This window comes from Homo sapiens, chromosome 4, assembly GCF_000001405.40.
Source record: "Homo sapiens chromosome 4, GRCh38.p14 Primary Assembly".
NCBI classification, from domain to species: domain Eukaryota; kingdom Metazoa; phylum Chordata; class Mammalia; order Primates; family Hominidae; genus Homo; species Homo sapiens.
In genome coordinates, this window is record NC_000004.12 from 161,527,335 (window position 1) to 161,554,744 (window position 27,410).

At 32.9% G+C, this 27,410-nt stretch overlaps 1 protein-coding gene across 4 annotated transcripts in view; it reads right to left on the bottom strand.

Annotated features, from left to right (window-relative positions):
• Positions 1–27,410, bottom strand: part of FSTL5 (follistatin like 5) — a 780,104-nt gene that overhangs the window by 143,438 nt on the left and 609,256 nt on the right. For all 4 annotated transcript variants that reach the window (NM_001128428.3, NM_001128427.3, XM_011532126.1 and 1 more), the window contains exons 9-10: positions 15,198–15,359; positions 10,832–10,966 (exon numbers count right to left, since the gene is read on the bottom strand). In NM_001128428.3, the coding sequence (NP_001121900.1) occupies positions 10,832–10,966; positions 15,198–15,359 (297 nt within the window). The remainder of the gene's footprint in view (positions 1–10,831; positions 10,967–15,197; positions 15,360–27,410) is intronic.

Here is a 27,410-nt window from a genome sequence, read left to right on the forward strand (position 1 = left end):
ACTACCATCAGAGTGAACAGGCAACCTACAAAATGGGAGAAAATTTTCGCAACCTACTCATCTGACAAAGGGCTAATAGCCAGAATCTACAATGAACTCAAACAAATTTACAAGAAAAAAACAAACAACCCCTTCAAAAAGTGGGTGAAGGACATGAACAGACACTTCTCAAAAGAAGACATTTATGCAGCCAAAAAACACATGAAAAAATGCTCACCATCACTGGCTATCAGAGAAATGCAAATCAAAACCACAATGAGATACCATCTCACACCAGTTAGAATGGCAATCATTAAAAAGTCAGGAAACAACAGGGGCTGGAGAGGATGTGGAGAAATAGGAACACTTTTACACTGTTGGTGGGACTGTAAACTAGTTCAACCATTGTGGAAGTCAGTGTGGCGATTCCTCAGGGATCTAGAACTAGAAATACCATTTGATCCAGCCATCCCATTACTGGGTATATACCCAAAGGATTATAAATCATGCTGCTATAAAGACACATGCACACGTATGTTTGTTGCGGCACTATTCACAATAGCAAAGACTTGGAACCAACCCAAATGTCCAACAATGATAGACTGGATTAAGAAAATGTGGCACATATACACCATGGAATACTATGCAGCCATAAAAAATGATGAGTTCATGTCCTTTGTAGGGACATGGATGAAATTGGAAATCATCACTCTCAGTAAACTATGGCAAGAACAAAAAACCAAACACGGCATATTCTCACTCATAGGTGGGAATTGAACAATGAGAACACATGGACACAGGAAGGGGAACATCATACTCTGGGGACTGTTGTGGGGTGGGGGGAGGGGGGAGGGATAACTTTAGGAGATATACCTAATGCTAAATGACGAGTTAATGGGTGCAGCACACCAGCATGTCACATGTATACATATGTAACTAACCTGCACATTGTGCACATGTACCCTAAAACTTAAAGTATGATAATAATGAAATAAAATAAAAATAAATAAATTTCACATTTAACAACATTTCATGTTTAACATAAATATAAAATGCACATATAGTTGGGATATAAAGCAAAAAAGGAGGAAGAACAATAATCAAACTGTCTGATTTACTCTATCTGACTTATTCAGACACAGTCAGCCTTTATCAGAATTCTGGTATTTGGGTAAATAGAGGACAATAGGAAACACAGTTGTATAATCTGGGCTGTTGGCACAGAGTTAATAGAAATATATGGCATAAATTAGACTTCACAAAACTTTGAGAAAACACCCCACTTCAGCCCCTTACCCCAGAGTTTGGGCATTTCAAAGATACATTTGTTTTGTTAACTCTTTGCACATTTATGCCATTATCTGACCGAATTCCTGCAACAGAGAACACTAAGAGAATCATAAAGTGATGATAATTCTACTTTTGTTAAACTTAAGAACACAGTTATTTGGTAAAGGATTAACTATATTTGAAGCCTTTGGAATTAGAAAACCTCAAAGAGAGTCCTAACATTTTCTCCTGAACACAAGAAATACAACGTTAGTATGTACATATTTTTAAGTTCAATAGAGACTGTATACTCAGCACTGTCACTATATGTTAAGTGTATTCAGTCCACATGCCTAAAGTCATATAAATAAAATTTCATCATCATCATCAACTTATCCTAAAATAAATTAGTCACATTGGCATTGTGTAATATGAATTAGGAGGTTCATTAAAGGTATATAATGCCTTGCAGAGAAAATTCAGGCAGTAGATCAAAATAAGAAAGCATTATTTCTTATTTTGTTGTGTAGACAATAAAGATGCCCAGTAGTTTACGGTTGCTGAAAACCTGTCAATTTTAGTGACATTCAGATCACATAGTATCTTGTTAGTTAATAAAGCCCTGCTTTTGTGCAAAAAGTGGCAACATGTTAGAAACAGATCTATTTAATGATATTGAAGGGTATTATTTTAAAAATATAGTCTTCATATAGAAGTCACAAGACAGGTATTTTCGGTATGTTCTGGGTAAAAAGATGAAAAGACTTATAGAACAAGTTACCTCACAGGGTGTGAAATGACATTGGCCAAATTGAGAAGCATGAATATTGGAATTTATTATAAATAATGAAAGTTTATAAAATAATAAATGCTTATCAAGCATGGTTAACTTCGACATGACTCTTCATCTTAAGACATTTTATTTCATAATAACCTTATTGCTATATAAATCTTATATCAAATATTAAACAAGTAATTTGGGGCTTTTCAAAAAGAAATACAAATTGTTAATTTCTGCTTTAAGTTATAATTAGTATATATTCTCTATAGAATTATATTTAATAAAATATATGAAAATTAATATTTTTATTCATTGATTTATTTTTTCCATAAATATTTGTTTTTATTTGGTTCTATTTGACTCTAGCTCTTAGCTCATCACTATCAGGATAAAATCCTACCCGGCTGTGATGTCTGCACTTTATCTTTATGGATTTTTGCTGTATGTTATTATTCTATCTATCTCACAGTTATTGAGTGTAAAAACAAAACAAAACAATTATTAATCTGATTACTGCTGCACCTAATATTGGTTGAGTCTAGAAATAATTACTAATCGATGACTTTTGCATTTGGCTTCATTTATACCTCTTTTTAGACTATATTGTTCAACTGTTTATATTACCTTCCTAGCCTCTGTAGAGATTAATAAGATCCTACATAAGTGATCTCATTAAATCTATGCAACCTGCCTTTTGAAGTATTTCCTCATTCTATAGAAATAGAAAGTAAATGAAGACTAAAGAGGTTAATTAATTTGTTTATGTTATCAGAATCTATTCTATTTCTAAAGTTTATGATAGTCATATTCATACGATCTTTATAGGTAAAAAGACCATGTTTTAATCTATTTTAGGACCCTTTCTTTTACTTCTAAAATAGGAAGATACCTCATAACTATTCATATGTTTTTCAATTTTTTTTCAAGATAGTTGGAAACAAATGGCTGGATTTTACAATATTGCTAAATCTTAGTATTAGCAATTATGCTTATTTCATTTTGATAATAATTATTAACTTACATAAATAGTATATGTTTATATAATTTATTTACGCAAATAATCTTGTAGACTTTAGCCATTTGAAATGTGTTTTTTAAAAAATCTTCAAGTTGTTTTATTTTATAATAAAGTATGAACTATCAAAATATTAATTTTTTAGAAATACAGCCAACTAATGTTAATTTATTGGAGCTAATTCTAAAGTAAGAATTATTGCAATATGGTAAGATTTCCAACTGCTTGTGACAATAATTTAAAAATGGTGTATCTAGCCTTATAGTATATTTATTATATTTAGACCGTAAAATTCTATTATAATATATTTAGACATACTCTGATACTCTCAAACAGCTGGATTAATCATATTCCTTACTAAAATCATAGCAAGATGTGAATCAATCTGTTCTTAGCACTTAATGCAGCCTGTAGCTTAAAAGCTTCCTGTAGAAGCCTATGTTCACATCACTTTTTATTTAACTTCATATTGAGGATGAACCTTTATTACCTGGGAATTGACTTCCCTTGGGAATGAAAATGTGTCAAGTGCTTATGCTATGTACAAGACGTTTTCAAATAAATAATGTGTTACCTCTATCTAAATCCCTTCACATAATTTATATCTTCTCCTACTCCCTGTTGTGAGCAACCACACAATCCCCTATGGTCCAGTTCTACTGTTCTTTACATTTAAATCCTCCCTGTATGTCACTCTATTAAATCTTAGTTATGAAAACCTATCTCTAATGTAACTGTAGAGTATATTATTTTGAAGCACATATTTTTTGTCATTCAATTTCTCACATGAGAAAACTTCCAGTGATATTTGTTGACAAAGTTAGACACTGTAAATCAAAGTTTCCCACTTCAAAGATTAGGGTAGAAGCAAAACACAAACTCCTTAGCCATATGATGCTTTGCATGGATTGTTCTCTCAATAGTATCATATTTCTGGCAAATGTAGTGTAGGAAAAAATGTGATTGATACTACTATGAGCTCTCTATTATGTAGAAAATAGCTGGATGATTACTCCGAAGCTGTATCCAGACAAAGTGAGTCTTTGTTGTGTTATTTACCCCCAAAGTTACAAATCTTTCCCCATTTTTATTGTTGTCTACATGGGATTCAATACCTCTCTTCTCTGCATCTTTCAAAAACAGAAGAAAAGCGCATTACAGAATAATTCTCAAATATATAATAGAAGTATAAATTGACTCAATGTAAAGGCGGACTAAAGTGTAGCTTCTGCTTTGATTGTGACAAAAGTGAACTCTAGAAAAAGATTTTGAAATTTATTTAAAGTATCTTAATATATACACTAAATAATAAAAGGTATACTCAATCAGTGGAGTCCATGTTTTAAATGTTAAGAGAGATAATATTTAATATTTGAATGCATAAAAATGGATGCCCCTACATACTCATATCTGCCTATAGCTATGCTATCAATATTTGTATGCATTATTATAAAACTCTGATTTGTAGCAATTATTGGGTTTTCTAGGCTTTTGAGAAATAGATTTTTGTCAGTGTTTTTAGCAATAAGAAATTATTTTTAGAGGGCCGGGCGTGGTGGCTCACGCCTATAATCCCAGCACTTTGGGAGGCCGAGACGGGCGGATCATGAGGTCAGGAGATCTAGACCACCCTGGTTAACATGGTGAAACCCCGTCTCTACTAAAAATACAAAAAAATTAGCCGGGCGTGGTGGTGGGCGCCTGTAGTCCCAGCTACTTGGGAGGCTGAGGCAGGAGAATGGCATGAACCCGGGAGGCAGAGCTTACAGTGAGCGGAGATCACGCCACTCCAGCCTGGGCAACAGAGCAAGACTCCATCTCCAAAAAAAAAAAAAGAAATTATTTTTAGAAAACAAATGTGAGTCAGAGGAAGAGCTACTTTATGTCTTGCACTATGACAAGTGCTTTATACGTAAGATCGAAACAGAAATCTCTCGATGTATTAGTATTTATTTCATATTAAAGATAAGAAAACTAAAGCCCAGAGAGGTCATGTAGTACCCCCACATCAGTGAGGTGTTGTGTGATTCCAACACACATTTTGCAAAATTTATACTCTTCAGTTACAACAATTTGCTTTTTCATTTAAAAATTGTATCCTATCACTACTGAAAACAATCCCTGAAATTATTTTTTGTAGATTTATACAAGTCAATAATTTCTTAATATGTGCAAATAAGAAAAGTATATTTATTACTAATGGGTCTTTGATTGGTTCTTTTGGCATTTTTGAAAATATCTTTCCAGACACACAATAACAGTGGGGGGACTTCAACACTCCACTGACAACATTAGAAATATCTTTGCAGCAGAAACTGAAAAAGAAATTTTGGACTTAAAATTGACACCTGACCAATGGGACCTAATACAAAGCTACAGAATACTCCACCGAATCACCACAGAATATACATTCTTCTCTTTTGCCCATGGATTGCCCACATGCTTTGCCATAACACAAGTCTTAATAAATGCAAAAAAATCAAAATAATATCAAGCACTCTCTCAAACCACATTGCAAAGAAAATAGAAATCAATACCAAGAAAATCTCTCAAAACAACAGAAATACAGAGAAATTAAAAAACTTGCTTCTGAACAACTCTTGAGTGAACAATAACATTAACGCAGAAATAAAAAAAAATCTTTGAAATTAATGAAAATAGAGACACAATTTAAAATCTTTGGGTTGCTGCTTAAGCAGTGTTAAGAGAAAAGTTCATAGTGGTAAATACCTGCATCAAGAGGTTAGAAAGACCTCAAGTTAGCAATCCAACATCAGACTTAGAACTAGGAAAAAAAAAAAAAAGGCAATCCAATTCCAAACCTAATTGAAGAAAATAACTAGAATGAGAGAAGAACTGAACAAAATTGAGAACTAAAAGTCCTTACAAAAGATTAATAAAGCAAGAGTTTGTTTTTTAAAAGAATAAAAACGTTGACCACTAGCTAGATTAATTAAGGGGGAAAAAAAAGAGAAGATCCAAGTGAGTTCAATCAGAAATGGCAAAGATGACATTACAAATGATCCCTCAGAAATAGAAAAGATCCTCAGAGACTATTATGAACACCTCTATGCACACGAATTAGAAAATCAAGATGAAACGTATAAATTCTTGGAAACACATAACCCTTCAAGATTGAACAAGAAGGAAAGTGAAAACCTGACTAGACCAATAAGTTTGGAAATTGAGTAAGTAAGTAATACAAAATGTACCGACCAAAAAGAGCCTTGGACCAGAAGAATGAACAGCCAAATTCTACCAGACATACAAAAAAGCATGGATACCAATCCTACTGAAACTATTCAAAAAAATTGAGGAGGAGGGCCTTCTCTCTAACTTATTCTATGAAGCCACCATCATCCTGATACCAAAATCTTGCAGAGTCACAACAACAACAACAAAAAAGAAAACTTCAGGATAATATCCCTGATGAACATAGATGCAAAAATCCTCAATAAAGTACTAGCAAACTGAACCCAGTAGAATATCAAAAAGTTAATTCATCATGATCAAGTATGCTTTATTCCTGGATTCAAGGGTGGTTCAACATATGCAAATCAACAAATGTAATTCACCACACAAATATAATTAAAAACAAAGACCATATGATCTCCCAAGAGATGCAGGAAAAGCCTTTGATAAAATCCAATATTCATTCACGGTAAAACCTCAACAGAAGAGGCATCAAAGGAACATACCTTAAAATAATAAGAACCACCTTATGACAAACCCACAGCCAACATCATACTGAATGCGCAAAAGCTGGAAGTATTTCTCTTGAGAACTGGAACAAGAAAGGAATGCCCACTCTCACTACTCCTATTCAACATAGTACTGGAAGTCCTACCCAGAGCAATCAGGCAAGAGAAAGAAATAAAAGACATCCAAATAGGAAAAGAAGAAGTCAAAGTATCTCTCTTTGCTGGGAATATGATCCTATACATAAAAAACCCTAATGATGCTGCAAAAAGCTTCATGAAACTGACAAATTCAGCAAAGTTTCAGGATACAAAACCAATATACAAAAACTAGCAACATTTCTATATACCAATTCCATTGTAGTTGAGAACCAAATTGAAAACACAATTCCATTTATAATAGCTAAAATTATATGTAATACATAGGAATTTATTTAACCAATTATGGGAAAGATCTCTACAAGGATAACTACAAAACACTGCTGAAAGAAATCAGAGATGACACAAATGAACGGAAAAGTATTTCATGCTCATGTACTGGAAGAATCAATATTGTTAAAATGGCCATACTATCCAAAGCAATTTACAGATTAAAAGATGTCCCTACCAAAATACCAATGTTGTATCTCACAGTATTAGAAAAATCTATCCTCAAATTCATTTGGAACCAAAAGAGAGTATGAGTAGCCAAAGCAATCCTAAGCAAAAAGAACAAATCCATAGGCATCACACTATACTTCACACTATACTACAGGGAGACAGTAAACAAAACAGCATGGTACTGGTATAAAAACAGACACATAGAGCAATGGAATGAAACAGACACCCCAGAAATAAACTCATACACTTACAACCATCTTATCTTTGACAAAATAGACAAAAAAAGCAACAGGGAAAGGACTATCTATTCAGTAAATCATCTTGCGATAACTGGCTAGCCACATGCAGAAGAATGAAACTGTACCGCTACCTCTTACCATACACACAGATTAACTCAAGATGGGTTAAAGATTTCAGTGTAAGACCTTAAATTATAAAAATCCTAAAAGTAAAAGTGGGAAATACCCTTCTCAACATTGGTTTTGGCAGAGAATTTATGGCTAAGTCCTCAAAAGCAATCGCAACAGAATAATAATTGACAAGAGTGCCTAAGAAGTGCCTAATTAAACTAAAGAGCTTCTGTACAGCAAAAGAAATTACTAACAAAGTAAACAGAAAGCCTACAGAATGGGAAAAAATATATGTAAACTATGCAAGCAATAAAATACTAATATCCAGAATCTACAAACATCTTAAATCAATAAGCAAAAATCAAATAATCCAATTTAAAAATGGGAAAAGCATAAGAACAGACACTTATCGAAAGAAGCCATACAAATGGTCAGCAAACATATGAAAAATGCTCCACGTCATCACTCTGATTTGCATCAGAGAAATGCAAATCAAAACTGCTATGAGATATCATCGCACACCAGTCAGAATGGCTATTATTAAAAAGTCAAAAAACAGTAGATCCTGGCAAGGTTATGGAGAAAAGCGAATGCCTATATCCTGTTGGTGGGAGGGCAAACTTGTTCAGCCACTGTGGTTAGCAGTTTGGAGATTTCTCAAAGAACTTAAAACAGACGTTACTATTTGACCCAGCAATCCCATTACTGGATTTAGATCCAAAATAAAATAAATCATTCTACCGAACAGACACATGCACTTGCATGTTTGTTGCAGCACTATTCACAATACTAAAGACATGGAATCAATCTAGGTGCCTATCAATGGTGGGCTGGTTAAAGAAAATGTGGTAGATATACATCATGGAATACTACTCAGCCATAAAGAAGAATGAAATCATAGTCTTTGAAACAAAATGAATGAAGCTGGAGGCCATTATCGTAAGTGAATTAATGCAAGAACAGAAAACCAAATACCACATGTTCTCACTTATAAGTAGGAGCTAAACATTGAATACACATAGACATAAAGATGGGAAAAATGGACACTGGGAACTACTAAAGGAGCGAAGTATGAAAGGAGGCATGGGCTGAAAGATAATCTATTGGGTACTATGCTCACTACCTGGATGATGTGATCACTTGTACCCCAAACCCCAGCACCAAGAAATATACCCATGTAACACACCTGCACATGCACTCTTTATAATAAAATTTGAAATTATTGAAAACATAAAAATAATAAAGAAAGAAAATATCTAGCATTCCAAAATACAAATGTGCCATGTATATCTAATATCAGTCTCTTTCCATGAAATTACTAGAAAAGAACCCAGATCCACAATCCTTAAGATGGGGGTTACAAAAGGCAGTAATTTTCACTACTATGAAATCCACCCGATTTTGGTTTTCTTTTGTTATACAGAATTCTGGCATTTAACTATTAGGAGGCATCCCAAGGGAAACTATCTTCTATCAAGTAGACGTTATTACATTTTCTGTTTATACTTTTCCGTAGTTGCTAATATTCTACTCAGTTTACTTATTTAGTATTGTCCTGATTTTAATTACATGCATGATTATTTTTTAAATGGGCACTTTTACTTCAACAAGATTAAACCTTGTCGAAAATTTAATCCTGTTAAACCTTCTCCTAAAATTTTCCTAGAATTCACACACTAAAAGGTTGTATGATTTGTTGACTAAGGGAGCTTTGGCTAGGTGTTTTACTGTTGTAACTAGGGAAACATATTAAAAAGTACTTGACAAACATTAAAATAAATTAAGAATATAGAGTTGATATTAAAATCTGTTTCACAAACATCATCATAAGGACAAAGAAAACAAACATTTTTAATTACTTGTCACTTCAAATTAATTTTTAACAGAAAGTGAATTACAAGTTAGTATTGGCTGTACCACATAAAAGGAATAGAGCAAAGGAATTATGGTGGACCTTATGCAGGCCATTAAATCCAGCTTTTTTTCTCTTTTTTCAACCTAAAGACTTTCCTTCTTAAATATTTCTTTATAATGATGGTTGTCCTAACCAGACAAAATGAAGATAATGATATGCTAGTAGTTGGGACCTGGGTAAGGTCCTTCTTTCTCAATGGATCCACTCATGTCAATATGCACTAAGTGACTTAAGAAGTAATAGGAAGACCCCTGGCTGGATCAATGCTTTAACCTTGTTCAAACACTGGATTCAGAAAAATGGGCCTGTCAAGTTAGAGGGTCCAATAATGTCAGACTCTTGCAAAACATATATTAATAACAGCGTAACAAGTAGGATTGAAGAGCAGAGAACAAGGGGAGTAGTCATTTCAAGCACATCCAGGCCCTATCCCAAAACAGCCACACTGTGGCACGTGTATACCAAGGGAATAAAATGGCTGTTTGTTTGCTTGCAAAGAATGCACTTGATAAATGCTATAATAGTAGTTTGAGTTCCAAACAATTCGGCTATCATAAAAAGCAATCCATCCTCAGCATCCCCACCCTATCTCTACCCCTTTTGCCAAGTAATTAAACAAAATAAAAGAGAAGAAGACATTTGGGGTATAACTCCAGGAGACAATCAGACAACATGAACCATGATGGCAAAGGATTTTTAGCACTAAACCAAGAACAGCAACAGTGTAGTTTTTGTGTCAGGGGCAGTGAGTGCCTTAGAGTGGCAGTTACCACTGAACCTTCTGTAGAGAAGGATGCTGTACAGGTCTTAATCCAGTGACTGCAATGTAACTGACAGGAAAACAAATATAGTAATTTATTCTACCTAGAAGATACACATTGGATACATTTGGGGGCCTTGAATTCCCCACATTTAATTGAGGAGAGGGATTTTGCAAGAGATATAAATTCCTCCAAGAGCAAATGGGAAGACAGGACCTGAAACACCATATGTACACTTGCAAAAAAATAAAATCTAGTGTTGTAATGAAAATTTCACAACTTTTTTTCATCTTTAAATCTGCTTTTAGTATTTCAAGATTTCTATCCTTCCTACGTATAAAATCTATTTGTTATAATGCATTGTGCAATTCACAGTTTTCTGGTGCCTTTACTTTTTAAAAAAAGCTGTAAAAAAGTACGTTGAATATGGTGTGTGTGTGCTGTTGGGTGGTTCTATACATACGGGTCTTTCTAGCAGAGTCTTCCACAAAAAGAGAAGAGATGTCTTCATCCACTCCTGCTTCATTCTTTGCGATACAAGTGTATGCTCCAGTATCTTCATAGCGCACATTGCTTATGTGAACCTCACTGCCATTTGCTGAAAAAAGAAGGGAAATGCAACTTGTAAACTACAATTTCAGTTTTGGAACAGTGCTTTCTGATTACACAGTCAAACAGTTCTCTTGGCTTGTCCTAATTAAACTGTTTCCCTTCCTACTTCCATACTTTGAAGGCATGCCAAATTATTCCAGAAGCATTCAAATGTTCATAAACTGTGCTGTCATTCTATAAGAGAGCCCAATACTCTATATCAAATGCATAGTTTATGTTTTGTATCATTTTCTATATTCTACATTGTATATGAGGTATTTCATATTGATAAGTATAATTTCATTTATATATTTACTTATAATATTCAGAACCTACATTCCCCTAAGATTTTTCAGAAATCTAATAATAGCAATATGATTAGTTTGCAGGTAAATGTATATGAAAGATGTTTTCATAGAGTAATTAATTGAGCTAAATCATGCAGGTATACTATTGCCATTCATCAAACTTATTATTATTTTTATTGTGAGACAGAATCTCATTCTGTCACCCATGCTGGAGTACAGTGGCACGATCTCAGCTCACTGTAACCTCCGCCTCCCGGGTTCAAGCAATTCTCCTGCCTCAGCTTCCTGAGTAGCTGGGACTACAGGCCCACTGCGCCACCCCGGGCTAATTTTTTGTATCTTTAGTAGAGATGGGGTTTCACCATGTTTGCCAGGCTGGTTTCGAACTCCTGACCTCAGGTTATCTTTGGTATAGGCCTGCCTTGGCCTACCAAAGGGCTGGCATTACAGGCGTGAGCCACCCCACCTGGCAGTTGAGTGTTTGTTATAGTCATTTGTTTAAGTTTCTCTTTCCTTTCTTTTCTTTTTCTTTGTTTTCCTTTTGTTTTCTTTCTGTGTGTATGTGTGTGTGTGCATGCCTGTGTGGGTACTGTGTGTGTGTTTGTGTACATATTTGTGTCTGTGTGTTCCATGTTGTTCAGTTACAAGAACCACACAAGCAGTAGAACGGGAAATGACTATCTGTGACAGGTAGAAGGCAACGTAATCAGTGTGGTTTGGGAAAACAAGGGTAGAAAGCCAATGAGAAAACAGCTTGATTGCCATCGCTAGGAGCCAGTAGCTCTCAAGGGATGTGAGATATGGACAGGCAGTGGATGTGGATGTTTGAGAGACATAATCATTTGAATAACTTGAAGTTGTTTCTTTATTTGCAAATGCTTACTACACACCCTCATTCCCCACATAATTCACTGAGAATCACTACTCCAAAAAAGGGGTTGGCAGGTTTTCATTTTGTTGCAACAGGCCAGGTGTAAATAATTTAGGTTTTGTGGGCCACACAATTTCTGTGGCAACTACTCACCTCTGCCACAGCAGCATTAAAGCAGCCAGGCAATACGTTTTGAAAAATGAGTGCAACTGTATTCTAAATACAAACCAACAACAACAACAACAAAAAAGAAAGCAAAAACAAAAACAAAAAAACCCACCTTTATTTAAAAAAACAGACAGCTATCTAGATATGGTCTGTGGGTCTTAGTTTATAGGAACCTGCTCTAAAGATAGGTAGTAAACAATGTATTTACATTTGCTTCACCTTCTTGTTTTATATAAGATACGGCCTCCTCCAAAATCATACCTTTTTTTTTTTTTTTTTCAGGATCCACACACTTAACAGCTTAAATTCTCTGGGTTTTGTTTTGAAATACCAAATAAATTTCTTCCTTCTTTAAATGCTGTCTCCCAATATTTTTACATGTTCTCCTAACCTATATGTCCCATTGTCTTTCCTTCTCTTCCTATGTAATCTAGCATTCTTAGATGTTACCACTTTATTGCCAGAACTACCAATCCCTTTATCTATTTATCATCCTGACACATCTGCCTTCCTAACCTCTAGAACTAGAATAAGCTAACCCATCTCTGCATCTGGTGTCCCTGCACCTAGTTCTTTGAGTAAGTTATAAGACTATTGCATAAGCGAGTTTATAATTTTCAGATTCACAGTTTTCAATTCCTAGGACATTCAAAACTACTTGCTATTCATTTCACTTGACCTTTCCAGTTAGGTACCTTTCATATCCACCTCTACTTTTACTTCAAATCTTTATATACTTTGTTTGATGTTTCCCATCATAATACTAACTTCACTCTCAGCAAGTGATCTTGCTCTTTCAATCGTGAGGTAAATAGAAGTGATCAGAAAGCAACCTCAAAACTTTCTGTTCCTAGTTTCACCTTGATTTATTTCTCACAGGAAATTTTCTGTTTCTTTCCAAGGCAAATCTCCCCTTATTTCTTATTGATTTCTATGACTCTTCCTGCAGGTTTCATCCTTCTCATTTCTCCCTACTGATACTTTCTCAGATTGATGAATTATCCAAGAAATATCTCCATCAGTTCTAAGCCTCCCCACCAGGAGCTACTATCTTCTATTTTTTTTTCCTTTCAGAATCTGGCCAAAAAAGATTTTTGTATTTCTTGTCTCCTTTTTGTTTCTAAACACACTGAAAACTGATTGTTACTGATACTGTTTTTCTAAATGTCGCAAGAACATGCTCATCACCTGAAGTAAACACTTATCAATGCCTTTTATTGAACTTTCTATGCATTTGCCATTGTTGACCTCTTTATTTTTAACTTTCTCTTCTTCCATATTATCACCTAGTCTCCTGTCTCTTGATGAATTTTAGTCTCTTACTGTTATTTTCTTCATTTGCCTGTTAATAAAATATTTGTGCTTTCTTGGGATTTTACTCTCTCTAATTCACATATTATCCCAGCCATTGCCACAGATACTAAATTAGTGTCTGGACTTGGACTTCACACACAAACACTAAAGAAGCATCTCATGAATGAGTAGATAATTAAACAGTTATTAAGCCACATGGAGTTTTATACCCCTATGTGTGTAGAATTATCTCTTCTCTCCTTTTATTTTTTGTCATATTCTCTTAAAACTTCAACTGTTTTTCCCTGTTGTAAAAATTTACAGTAATTTCTTTGCAAGCACCTTCTCTTTTCAAATGTTGAGTCTGGAGTGTAACAACTTCAAAAATTTGTTGTCATGTATATTCCTGAAAGCAAAATTTTGATATACTTTTATAATATGGTTTATTGCTATTAAATGGGCAAGAGACAAAGTCAGAAGCTATTTAGACTTTTATTCATTTAATTTCTGTTAATAAGTCTTCTCCTCTCAGATTATAGACCTCTTGAGGTAATCACTAGATATGTGTGCAAATGTGTCTGACCTACGTATGCACATTAGTGATTTCTAGGATTAAAGTTTTTAAAGTTTAAGGACACTTTCACAGACATGTCTCTATTGACTTGCAAGAATAAGTAGAAGTTTTAAAAAGTTTTATTTAAAAATGTATAATGATTATATATATCCACTATTAAAGTGGAATAATAATAGAACTCTATGTAATAAAGTGACAAAATATGTTCATGTTTAATAATATAAAGAAAATTAAAGTCATAAAATAAGAACTATAATGCCCATGAAGAAGATACTCCAGTAAAATGAGTGTTGTGTGTTACCCCTAACAATGAAAAAAAGGTTTGTGGTTTATTTTTAATGCTAGTATAATTAATATATTATATGCAACTGCTTTTAGACTACTTAAATTATTTGACCTTACAAATCTTGCCTGGTTTTGTTTATTTTCCACATATTTGGGATTATTATTATCTAATATACAGTAATTTATTCATGTCTACACATTAGAAGATTAGAATATGTACAATATTTTATATATTAGAATGTAACACAAACTTTAAAAAATGTAAATGGAAAACATTTAGTAACTTTTTGATATTCTTCTCCCTTCATTTACAAAATATGCTAAAAAATCCACTAAAAATTCTGTATTGAAATCTTCTATAATATATATTCAAGGTATTATTTAAACACTTAAAAAGTAACTTCAGAAATGAATTTCTATAAAAGAATCTAATTATTCTGCTCAGCATAACTGCTATAATTCACAGGACAAGTATTTTAAAGATACATAATTTAATATTTTACTTATCACCAAAATAATGACATAATTAATCATTATGACAAGACTATTATTAAAAACACTAAAATGTTAAAAGAATCTTTCCCATATAATTTCTTAGATATGAGCATTTTTTTTCATATTTGTGACATTCTGTTGCCACCAACACTCATTTTTCTTTTATTTTCCAAAGAACGTTATAAATTTTAGTATAAATTTTCAACATGGTCATTTAAGAGAAAAAAAAGCAAGTAAAAAGCACCTTGAAGCGTGAGTTGTTTGGAAAGCTTTGGTGTAATATCAATTCCATTCTTCAACCAGCCAAGCTGAGGCTTTGGTATGCCCTCTGCATGGCACCTAAGACTGGCAGTTACCCCAGGCTCTCTAGCCTGACTCTCTGGATACACCCGGATGACTGGAGGAACTAAAGGAAAAAATGAAAGAGAAAGTGAATTAGTGATTCATATTTTCTATTTAATTTTCCAAAAGAAAAATTGCAATAAGATAAATAATAAATTATATATTTTAATGATGCTATACGTTTCTACAGATTGTAGTTTCCAAATAGCATTATCCACTGAAATGTACCAGTGTTACCTGTATAAAAACTATTCTGGGATTTTGCTAGGGAAAACATAAGATGAGCCTGGAATATCTTGTTTCAGAAATTAAACAAGTCCTCAAAGAATGATGAGGCATACCAAAAGGATACAGAAACCAGTTAAAAGAGACTCCAATTTGCTAAATATGGGACAATTTGAGCACTGAAATAATTAGTAATTACAAAGGAGTATAAGGAATTAAATAAAATCATGAATTCAGTTATATAAATAAATAAATGAGTATATAATGGAAGGAAAATAAAATATTTTTATTATAGCCTGTTAGGAAATTAATAATTCTGTTTACAATAGTATCAAAAAATAAAATATTTAGGAATAAAGTTCACCAAAGACATGCAAAACTTTCATACTAAATACTATGAAACTTTGTTGAAAGAATTTAAAGAAGACCTAAATAAATCCGAAGACACTTTGTATTCCTGGATTGAAAGAATTGATTGGTAACATGGTACAAACTGGTAAAGGCTATTGGTAAGGTGATCATACTCCCAAGTTGACAAAGACAAGTAAAAGAAAAACAAAGGTACAGTGTAATCCTTATCAAAGTTCTAACTGCATTTTTTTCGAGAAATTAAAAAAACTTATCCTCAGATAAATGTGAAATTACAGGAGACCCCCAAGTGGTGAAAAAAAAAATCTTGAAAAAGTACAAAGCTGGAGGGCTCATACTTGCTGATTTCAAAACATGCAATGAAGTAATCAAAGCAGTGCAATCCTGACACAAAGATGGAATAGACTTGAGAGTGCAGAAATAAACATACATTGATGGTCATTTTTTTTCCCAATTATTCTGGGACAATTGGAAAACCACATGCAAGAAAATAAGCCTGAACTCCTACCCCATACCATAAGCAAAATTGAATTCAAAATAAATCAAAGACTTAAATGTAGGAGCTAAAACAATAAACTATCAGAAGAAAACATTGAGTAAATGTTTCTGATCTAGAAATGGACAATTGTTTCTTCTAGATATGACCCCAAAGCACAAGCAACAACAAAAACAAAATAAATATGTTAGATTTTGTAGTGCATCAAATGACACTATAAAAAAGTATAAACACAACCCACAAAATAGGAAAAGATATTTGAAAATTCTGATAGTATCCAGAATATATAGAGAACTGTTACAAATCAGCAGCTAAAAAGCCAACAATGCAATTAAAATTTGAGACGAAAAAATTGAATAGTCATTTCTCTATTGAAGATGTATAAATGGCTAATTAAGCATATGAAAAGATTAAAAAATTAAAAAAAATCAAAAAGAGGGAAATGCAAATCAAAACCACTACATGATACCACTTCACACCCTCTAGAATGGCTATTTAAACAGATAAACAAAAATCAGAAAATAACATGTTGTTGATTGAGTATGTGGAGAAACTGGAACTCTTGCACATTGCTGGTGGGAATATAAAATGATGCAGCCATGCAATATATGGAGGAAAATACTAATGCATTCTACAACATGAATATTGGAGGTATCTGACACAAACGTTTACATATTATATTAATCCATTTATAAAACGTTCACAATGGGCAAATCCATGGTGACAGAAAGCAGACTGGTTGTTGCTAGGGACTGAGGAAATGGAGGAATGAGAAATGACTGCTTAATGGATATGAGGTTTATTTGGGGGTGACAATGTTCTAGGCTTAGATAGTGGTGATGGTTACACAACATTGTAAATATGTTATGAGCTACTGTGTGGTACATTTTGACACAGTTAAATGGCATGTGGATTTTATCTGAATAAAAAAGAAAGGAAAGGCAAAGGAGGCTAATGAAACACTCTAGACTAAAAAAAGATGAGTTATAAGAAATAAATAAAACATGCAAATCAAGATTGGGTCCTGGACTTAGAAAAATAAGTTATAAAGTATATTACTAAGAGAACTGACAAAATTTAAATATGGTCCCTGTATTAGATATTGCGATACTACTAATGTTACCTTTCCTGATTTGATAATTGCACTTTGATTAGGTAAAATAATTTTCTTTATAAAAGTCACTCACTGAATTAACTAGTGATGAATACAATCTGAAACTTTTTTCAATTATATAATCATTGATATTAAAATGAGATGTCGTAAATACAACATTAGGCATAATTATAGAAAGACTCAATTAAAAGTGAGATGTGGATTAATTGATAACTTTCTGTTTCTAGTAATGTTGAAAAAATGATAATGACTGATTCTGATTATCTTCCTGACTAGAATTTAAAATCTTGGAAAAGTTTACAGAAAGCATTTTCAGAAATCATAAGTAACTTAGGGATATAATGAGGAATGGCAGAATCAGTACAGAAGAAACTTTAAGGCTCATGGAAGTGAGCTACAACTGTTTCTCCCTCAAGAATAGTTCCCAAAGCAGGTGAAGATTCTGAAGTCAGAGTTGATTACTAATCAAAGGTATTTTATTTCTGTCTCTCTCTCCCATGTATATACACATATGCATGTGTGTGCACACGTAATTTAAAAAATAATAAGACAACTTGAGAGGTTTTGTATTTTTCTTTTAGCCATTAATTAATTCAGTGTGTATTTCTTTAAGATCTGGCGCGTTGCTACATTGAATCAAATATAGTGATTTATCTCTTCTACCTTACCAGACTCCAAAACTTCTGGGAAGCCAGGATTATGTACTTATTTTTGGTTTACAAATACATGCCAATATCAGGGAATCAGCTGATTCTGGTAGGCAGCCTCAACTAAAGTAAATGGGCTTAGTATTGTGGTCCCACAATAATTGTGGCTGGAGATTCTGGCATAGTAACTCTTTCTCTGTACTGGGTTACTAGTTGCATTCCATTTAAGTGGCCACAAAATGTCCAAAGATTCATTGCAGAATCTCTGGTACCCCCCAGTGCCTGACAGTCATAGATGGAATACCTCTCTTAAAGAACCTATTATCTTTATAATTAAAATAATTTGGAAAATGGTTGATGAAATCAAATTTGCTGAATACAACAAAATATCTCAAGGCTTTCCTTAAGAAAATACAAACTTAACCAATAAAAATAAAAACAACAGTCAAGTTTTAAAAAGCCACAAAATTCTGGTAACTGGAGTTATTCATCTAGGCTTCCTGTGTTTAAAGAGTTGATAGCTAAACATAAAAATTTAGGAAGCTATAAAACATAATGTTGTAATTAAAATAAATCAACTAGAAATGCTATATTTTTAAATAACAAAAATTGAAATTATAAACTCAATCTTTGTATTTAACTCCAGATTAGATACAGCTGAAGAAGAAAGGCGATAATAGAAAGTTAAGTCAGAAAAAAATCATAGCCACAATAAAGCACAGAGGTATAAAATATAGAAAATACAGATGAGAGAGTAAGTGAATATAGAATAGATTAAGAATACTATAAATATGCATATTATATATACATATTATATATATATATATACACATATATAAAACTGAAGAGAGCGATATTTGAAGAGGTAACCATTGTGATATTCTCAGTTCTGTGTAAGACATTAAATCAGTGATTCCAAAAGCCTAAAGATGATGAACTTTCTTAAGAAAGGTGACACATAGACATTACAGTAAAACTATAGAACACCAAAGAAAAAAAGACAAATCATAAAAAGCAACCCCAAGAAACAAAATGGCATACCAAGAAAGTCAGAATGAGAGCTAAATTCTTACAGAAATGGTAAAAACTAAAGAGAACACATTATAGACAGCTTTATGCCAACACGTAACTTTAAATAAAATGAACAGATTTCTGGAAACGCAAGCATCTAGCAGAACCTACACAAAAAGTAGTATAAAATCTAAAAAGTCTTATAACATTTAAATACATTTAATTTATTTAAAAACTTTTAATCAAAGAAAACTTTAGAACTTTTCCAAAATAAAGTAAAAATAACACCAATCTTATACAAGCTCTTCTAGAAAATAAAATGGGGCTGGAGGCATCTCTTTAGTAGTGTTAAAATATCTCTATCAATTGTTGACACTCCTGTCTTCCAAAGATAGAGACTAACTGTTCTCACTTTACACATGGGACCTGTGGGCTGGATTTAATGACGTGCTGTTAATGAACAGAGCTGTGGCAAAGTAATGGTGCATAATATCCAGCATTAGGTCATAAAAGGTATTGCAATATTTTCATCGTTCTCTTGCTCTTGCAGAATTCAGCTGCCGTGTCATAAGATACTCAATCACTCTTATGGGGATGCTTATATGCCAAGGGGCAGAGAGAGGCCCCATGACAACAGCCAGCAAAAAACTAAGGCCTCCTGCCAATAGCCACGTGAGTGAGTAATCTTGGAAGTAGTTATGCCAGCCGCAATCAAGCTTTCAGATGACTACAGCTCTGAACAACATGTTGATTGAAATCTCAGAAAAGAGATTGTGCCAGGATCACCTAGCTAAGCTGTTCTCAAATTATTTGATTATTTCATTTCTCTGTTTATTATTGCATATCTTGATTTTCCTATTATCTCAAAGAGCATAAATGTTTGTTGTTTTAGGCAACTAGTATTTTAGCTAATTTATTATGCAGCATAGATAACTAATAAAATCCCCAGCTTCTTTTTATGAAGTCAGCATAAACTTAATATCAAAATGTGACAAGGCATTAGAAGAAAGAATAATTAGTGGTCAGTGTCACTCATGAAAATAGATGAAAAATTCCCGTATAAAATATTATCAAACAAAATTTATCAGAATACTAAAATGGTAATATACCATAATATATTGAGTTAATTATAGACATTCAAAAAATCACTGAATGTAATTCATCATATTAACAGTTTAAAGAAGTAAAATTGTATGATCTTTTCCAAAACTGCAGAAAAGTCATTTACCTTTGGAAAACAAAACAAGAAAATATTTTCTTCAGTATGATAAGGGTTATCTTAAGCACTTGTAGATGGCATAGAGTAAATTAAAATACAAAAGATTCTTTAGATGAATTGTGATAATAAGTGAATTTGGTATGTGTGCATGATACAAGTTTGCATATTTGTAAATACCAGTAACAAAATATTTCATATATTTTAAGATTAATAAAGCAACAAATATATTAACTATCTACAAATATATTTAACATGTGGTGCTCAAACCCTTTTTGAAACATTCTAAAACATTATTTAAAATGTTATTGATAAAAATGAAATAAGACTAAAATCAGTGGAGTAATAAACCATGTTCATGGTACCTTTAGTTATTATTGCCTCTAGTTACAATTATATTAATTTTATCCATCAAATCTTTTTTCATTTGCATTCCCATTCCACAAAACTGGTAAAACCCATCTTTGTAGAAACAATCTAAATATGGTACCACTTACCAAAATGCTCACTTTTGTTCATTTAATTAGTCATATATTGATTACTTAGTATCTGCGATAAACTGTAAACTGTTAGGTTGACACAGATGGACAACATATGTCTCGTATGTACTGTTCAATAATGAAAACCAGGAAACAATAATTGTAACAGAACACTTTATGTCCTGTAATAGAGTTGAAAGAGGTGTGGTAGTTACAGAAAAATGGGAGTTATCAACACAAAGTTCGTTAAAGGAAAATGAACTGAATTTTGAAGTGTTTAGGGGAGTATGATAGACAGTGTAGTGAATATGGTTGTGGGGAAGACATTTTCAGTATATGCACCATGCTGAACTTTTTATATTTTTCCAATGAGTGTATACTTCTTGAACTTGAGTTATGTCATAGGTAGTTAGATATATGTCACATGCAATTGTATGGACAGTCAATTAGCCAGTTTACCACCAAAAATGCTGGGAGAGAAATCCTGCATTCATTCAGTAAATATACATGTATCAATTATCTACAAGTGCCAGGCATTCCAAGAACATTATAATTGCCATTATAATGTACTAAGCTTTGTGGGAAATGATTCAGGAATTATGCAATGATGGACTATTAATTGTATAATTTTCAAATGATTGTGCTATGTAAATTTTTGAGGTTAGATGAGAATTTGAATATATTAGAACAAATGGTTTAGACATTTTAATTCCAATACCAAAAAGCATAATGTCCTTTCCAACAAAAATTAACATGCTATCTTTAATGTAAATATTAAATCTATTCACATTGAAAGCAAATAGTTCTGGATGGCTGAATTTTCTTAATTGTAGAGAGTGGTACCTTTCCATACTTAATATTGAGAATAATATTGTTTTTATGAAAGTGTTTCTCAAGTGAATTCTAGACCTCAGATTTGGAAAATCCCCTGCTAATGAAAATATGTTTATTTGTCGTCATTTAGACATTTTGATTGAGACAAATGAAGATTTGGGGTCTTCATTTTGCTGCTTAATAGTGCTGTGATGTTGAGTTCATTTTCAAACATTTTTGAGTCTTTGTTTTCTTATATGTAAAATAAATATTGTACTATATTTTAAGGTTTTGAAAATCAAAAGAATTATAAAAATAAAGAGTTGTATATTGCAAAGCAATATATATTGTAAAACAATATATATCAGACAGCTATATATAATATGATATATATGATTAATAATAGGCTCTTTGAGAGAAGAGGTTTTGCCTTATTTAATCATTAAATTCCCTGATGTAGCCGGGTGACTTGTGTAATGAAGACCATGTGGAAGAGTTCCACAGGATGTATGTTACAGGCTTACCACACTGATTCCTTTCTGACATTTACAATTTAGCATTTGCTATTTAAAATGGCCATGAGAGTATATGTAACATACGTTGTCCTTGATAAGAATATGACTTGGTAAATAAAGAAGAGGACTCCAGTTCTCTGTCAAAAAAGTTTCTGCAGGAGATATCAAAAGACAGGACATAAAAGTTTTGTTCACTTGGACCATTTGCTCTCCGGTTAATGCATGTATTTTGAACTACCTGACATCCTTTTCTTTCAGCCATCAGAATGCCAATAAAAAACTTTAAGGTCCAAAACCAATCTGAGACTCTATTTGGTGATTCAAATATGTGCAAAGTTAATTTCACCACTCTTATTTTTTAGTGTCTGGAGGATCCATTGTATATACAAATTTCACTGACTATTGAATAAGTGTCAATCCTCCAGACTTACTAAAACTATAAAAGTAATGCAAACCAAGACTAGTTAAAGCCGTCACGTCAGGACTACAGCCGACCACCCTACTGGCCTGTTAGTTCCCTTTCCCAGCTATACTCTGGGAATATTAAACTAGCTTCATGTTAACTACACAGAGAAAAATGAGGCAGGGGAGGGTGTCCTCAGAAAGGCCTAATAACCCTTAGTGTCCATAGTTGGGACTGTATCCTGTACATTGCCCTTAATATTTTTAGAAGCAGAAAAATAATAGACCTTCAAAGCTCTAAGTACAAAAAGAAATCTGCTGCACCCTTTCTGCCATTTCTCATTCAAAAGTATTACAATATACACAAGCTTGCACAGTGACAAGGAGCAAAACCAAGTTCTGATTTTATTCTTTTCCTTGAGGACTACTTAAATGAATTTTTTTGAAATACAAAATACACTTTCAAAAATGATTGTCCTAGTATTTCTGTGCCTGCTTTCCTGGTGACATAAAGCACACGTTTAGGCTCTCCTAATGTATTTAGAACAGAGTAGTTATTGCAGCATTTTATTTTATTGAAGGTTAAAACAAATAACTTTTTTTTGTATTTTATTTTATTTTATTTTTTCAGTAACTTCTTTTTTATTTATTTATTTATTTATTTATTTATTTATTTATTATTATACTTTAAGTTTTAGGGTACATGAGCACATTGTGCAGGTTAGTTACATATGTTTACATGTGCCATGCTGGTGCGCTGCACCCACTAACTCGTCATCTAGCATTAGGTATATCTCCCAATGCTATCCCTCCCCCATCCCCGCACCCCACCACAGTCCCCAGAGTGTGATGTTCCCCTTCCTGTGTCCATGTGATCTCATTGTTTAATTCCCACCTATGAGTGAGAATATGCGGTGTTTGGTTTTTTGTTCTTGCGATAGTTTGCTGAGAATGATGATTTCCAATTTCATCCATGTCCCTACAAAGGACACGAACTCATCATTTTTTATGGCTGCATAGTATTCCATGGTGTATATGTGCCACATTTTCTTAATCCAGTCTATCATTGTTGGACATTTGGGTTGGTTCCAAGTCTTTGTTATTGTGAATAATGCCGCAATAAACATATGTGTGTGTATGTCTTTATAGCAGCATGATTTATAGTCCATTGAGTATATATCCAGTAATGGGATGGCTGGGTCAAATGGTATTTCTAGTTCTAGATCCCTGAGGAATCGCCACACTGACTTCCACAATGGTTGAACTAGTTTACAGTCCCACCAACAGTGTAAAAGTGTTCCTATTTCTCCACATCCTCTCCAGCACCTGTTGTTTCCTGACTTTTTAATGATTGCCATTCTAACTGGTGTGAGATGGTATCTCATTGTGGTTTTGATTTGCATTTCTCTGATGGCCAGTGATGATGAGCATTTTTTCATGTGTTTTTTGGCTGCATAAATGTCTTCTTTTGAGAAGTGTCTGTTCATGTCCTTTGTCCACTTTTTGATGGGGTTGTTTGTTTTTTTCTTGTAAATTTGTTTGAGTTCATTGTAGATTCTGGATATTAGCCCTTTGTCAGATGAGTAGCCAAAAAAGAGCCCGCATTGCCAAGTCAATCCTAAGCCAAAAGAACAAAACTGGAGGCATCATGATACCTGACTTCAAACTATACTACAAGGCTACAGTAACCAAAACAGCATGGTACTGGTACCAAAACAGAGATATAGATCCATGGAACAGAACAGAGCCCTCAGAAATAATGCCGCATATCTACAACCGTCTGATCTTTGACAAACCTGAGAAAAACAAGAAATGGGGAAACGATTCCCTATTTAATAAATGGTGCTGGGAAAACTGGCTAGCCATATGTAGAAAGCTGAAACTGGATCCCTTCCTTACACCTTATACAAAAATCAATTCAAGATGGATTAAAGACTTAAACGTTAGACCTAAAACCATAAAAACCCTAGAAGAAAACCTAGGCATTACCATTCAGGACATAGCCATGGGCAAGGACTTCATGTCTAAAACACCAAAAGCAATGGCAACAAAAGACAAAATTGACAAATGGGGTCTAATTAAACTAAAGAGCTTCTGCACAGCAAAAGAAATTACCATCAGAGTGAACAGGCAACCTACAAAATGGGAGAAAATTTTTGCAACCTACTCATCTAATAAATAACTTTTTAAAGTGATATGTTAATGTACTTATGGTAAACCCACATCACTGTAAGGGGTGGAGTAAAAACACTGTTTAAAATATTTAGACTAATCTGACTAATCTCTAATCTCTTAACAACTACAGTTAGGAGATGAGCTTTTTAAAAAAGACAGGGAATCAGAATAGATATTAATAACAACTCTCAATAAGTATTTAATAAGACAAAGTTTATCTTGCCACAGGATTTGTAAGCATCAATTCTTCTTGCAACAGTCTTTGGAGCAGCAAAAAATTGAGACAGCCTAAATCTGAGAATTAGTTTGGAAGGAAGCACATCAATCACCTCAATAAGAGCAATAGATAACACATTATTCATACTGGAAAATATATATATTATATGGGCCACTTACATGGTCACTGATACTCCCCAAAGGAAAACTTTTTAGATGAGATGTTCAATTTCCTCCTGCATTCCAAGCTACTTCTACTTTATTGATGTACTTATGAAGGGACAGAAAGAAAACTAGTGAATAATAATTTTTGTCACATGAAATTTTAATTCTCATATAGATTATATATATGAAAAAATAATACTTTCATGTAATCGACATGTGTCTCACTTAGTTTATTGGTGTTAAATGATTTTCTGAAAAGTGTCTCTTAACTCACATAGAATTGAAGGATAAGTGATTGGCATAACAACTATTTAACCTCAGTGACAAGCTAAACATTTAAAAGTAGCTTACTTTTCCCAGGATACATATTATGAAATATAAATGAGGACTGATGGCAGCCTGAATTAAAAAAGTCAATAATCCTCCACAGAACATTTCAAACCATTTGTTACAGGCATTTTTAGCTAGGAAGTGCACTCTATAAACTTGTCTTTTTCTTTCTATTGGCAACACATGAAAAAAAGAAACTGATAAAGACTACCAAAGTGTTGTCACATTGGATTTAGGATCCAATTTGCATGGACTACCATGAAAAGCTTTAAATAGGCTCCTAACATTTTATGAAAATGTGATATTTAAAGATCAGCTTCTATACACTAAATAATTCCATATGATATTTGATGTCTTGCTAATATAGCTCAGGAAATGCCTTCAACCTAAATAGTTTAAACTAATTGGGTTACTTTATATAATAATATCCAATACAATCATATAATATAAACATCAAATAATTTATTATGTATATATTAATACAGGAACATTATAAAAAGTTGACATTACATATTAAAATTTATTCTACAAAAATGTAATCAAGTAAACTTCTATTACCTAAAATGGAAGGAGATACCAAAGGATGTAAATATATATATTTTATTCAAAAATTAGGTAAAGTATAAAATTTGATTTATTTTTGAGTTTTAAGATAATAATATATAGCTATTCACTGAGCAACTCCTGAGCATAATACATTGTGCTGGTAACTTTCTCCATCACTCACTTGCTCTCTTTTCTATATTACACATCCAATGAGTGATAGGTTCGAGTTGAAACTAGCCAAGTGGAGCATTGAAAAAAAAATACATTCTTAGCTTAAATTGTCTCATATGGTCCTAATAATATAATATATGTCTTTATAAAAGTGTCTACTGGAATTTGACTACTTGGCATCCACATTCATTAAATTATGAATTAGATTGTTAGCTATAATGTATAAGGCATATTAGAGATCCTGGAAAAAAATCATATTTTAAAAGTAAAGGTCAAATAAATTAGTGCATTTATAGTATTTCAGAGCAGTATTAATAATGCATCTCAAATATATGTAACTTTTCAAGGAAACTGAACTATTGCTCAGTTTAAAAACGACATCATCATTTAAATAAATCAAACAAATCTAATAAAATTTTATTTAGTTCATCTGATGGTTCTTAGAGCATCAAATGTAAATAATCAGATACTATATACACATGACCAATTGCTCTAAGAATACATAAGACTAGTACATTTTAACATTACACAAATTTAGAAATGAAGGTGAGGTTCTGATACTTAAAAAAGTAGAAATGAAAAATGGAGGAAACTAAATAAAATAAAGTATATTTACATTTACACAGGTTTTTCTTTCTGGAAACTTTGGTGTTTATATGGAATCCTTGTAAACATTTATCATCCGAAAACCATGATGTGTCTTATGATGATAGTAGGAAAAAAAAAGGAAGGGTAGATAGATATATTTCTCAAAGGCCCACAGCAACTTAACTGCATTAGACTAGACCAGTACTTCTCTCTACATTAGGAAGAATCTAATAGAATTTATTTAATGTAATGATGCTTCTAATCCAATATTAGAAAGATTCTAATGTGAAAAAAAAATCTCTGTAAGGCTAAGTCTTACTTTTTTCTCATTCTTCATACTTTCATACACTGATCTTTCTTTAGAAGTTTCTGCATTATTGCCGCAGAGTATGGAGACAGCATAACTGGCTGTTTTGGAAGCCTGAATTTAGTCAAGAGGCAGGGATCACTGACCCAATACAGTGACTTCATTCTAACTGAAAACAAAAATGAATTTAAGGTGAATCGTCAGGTCACTGGTAAGTAAACAACTAAGCACTGACTATTTTTTCCTTTTTCTTGATGCTATTATCTTGTATTCTTTTGAAGAATTCTATCATGGCTCTTCCACAAATTATTCACACAGCTGCAACTGTTC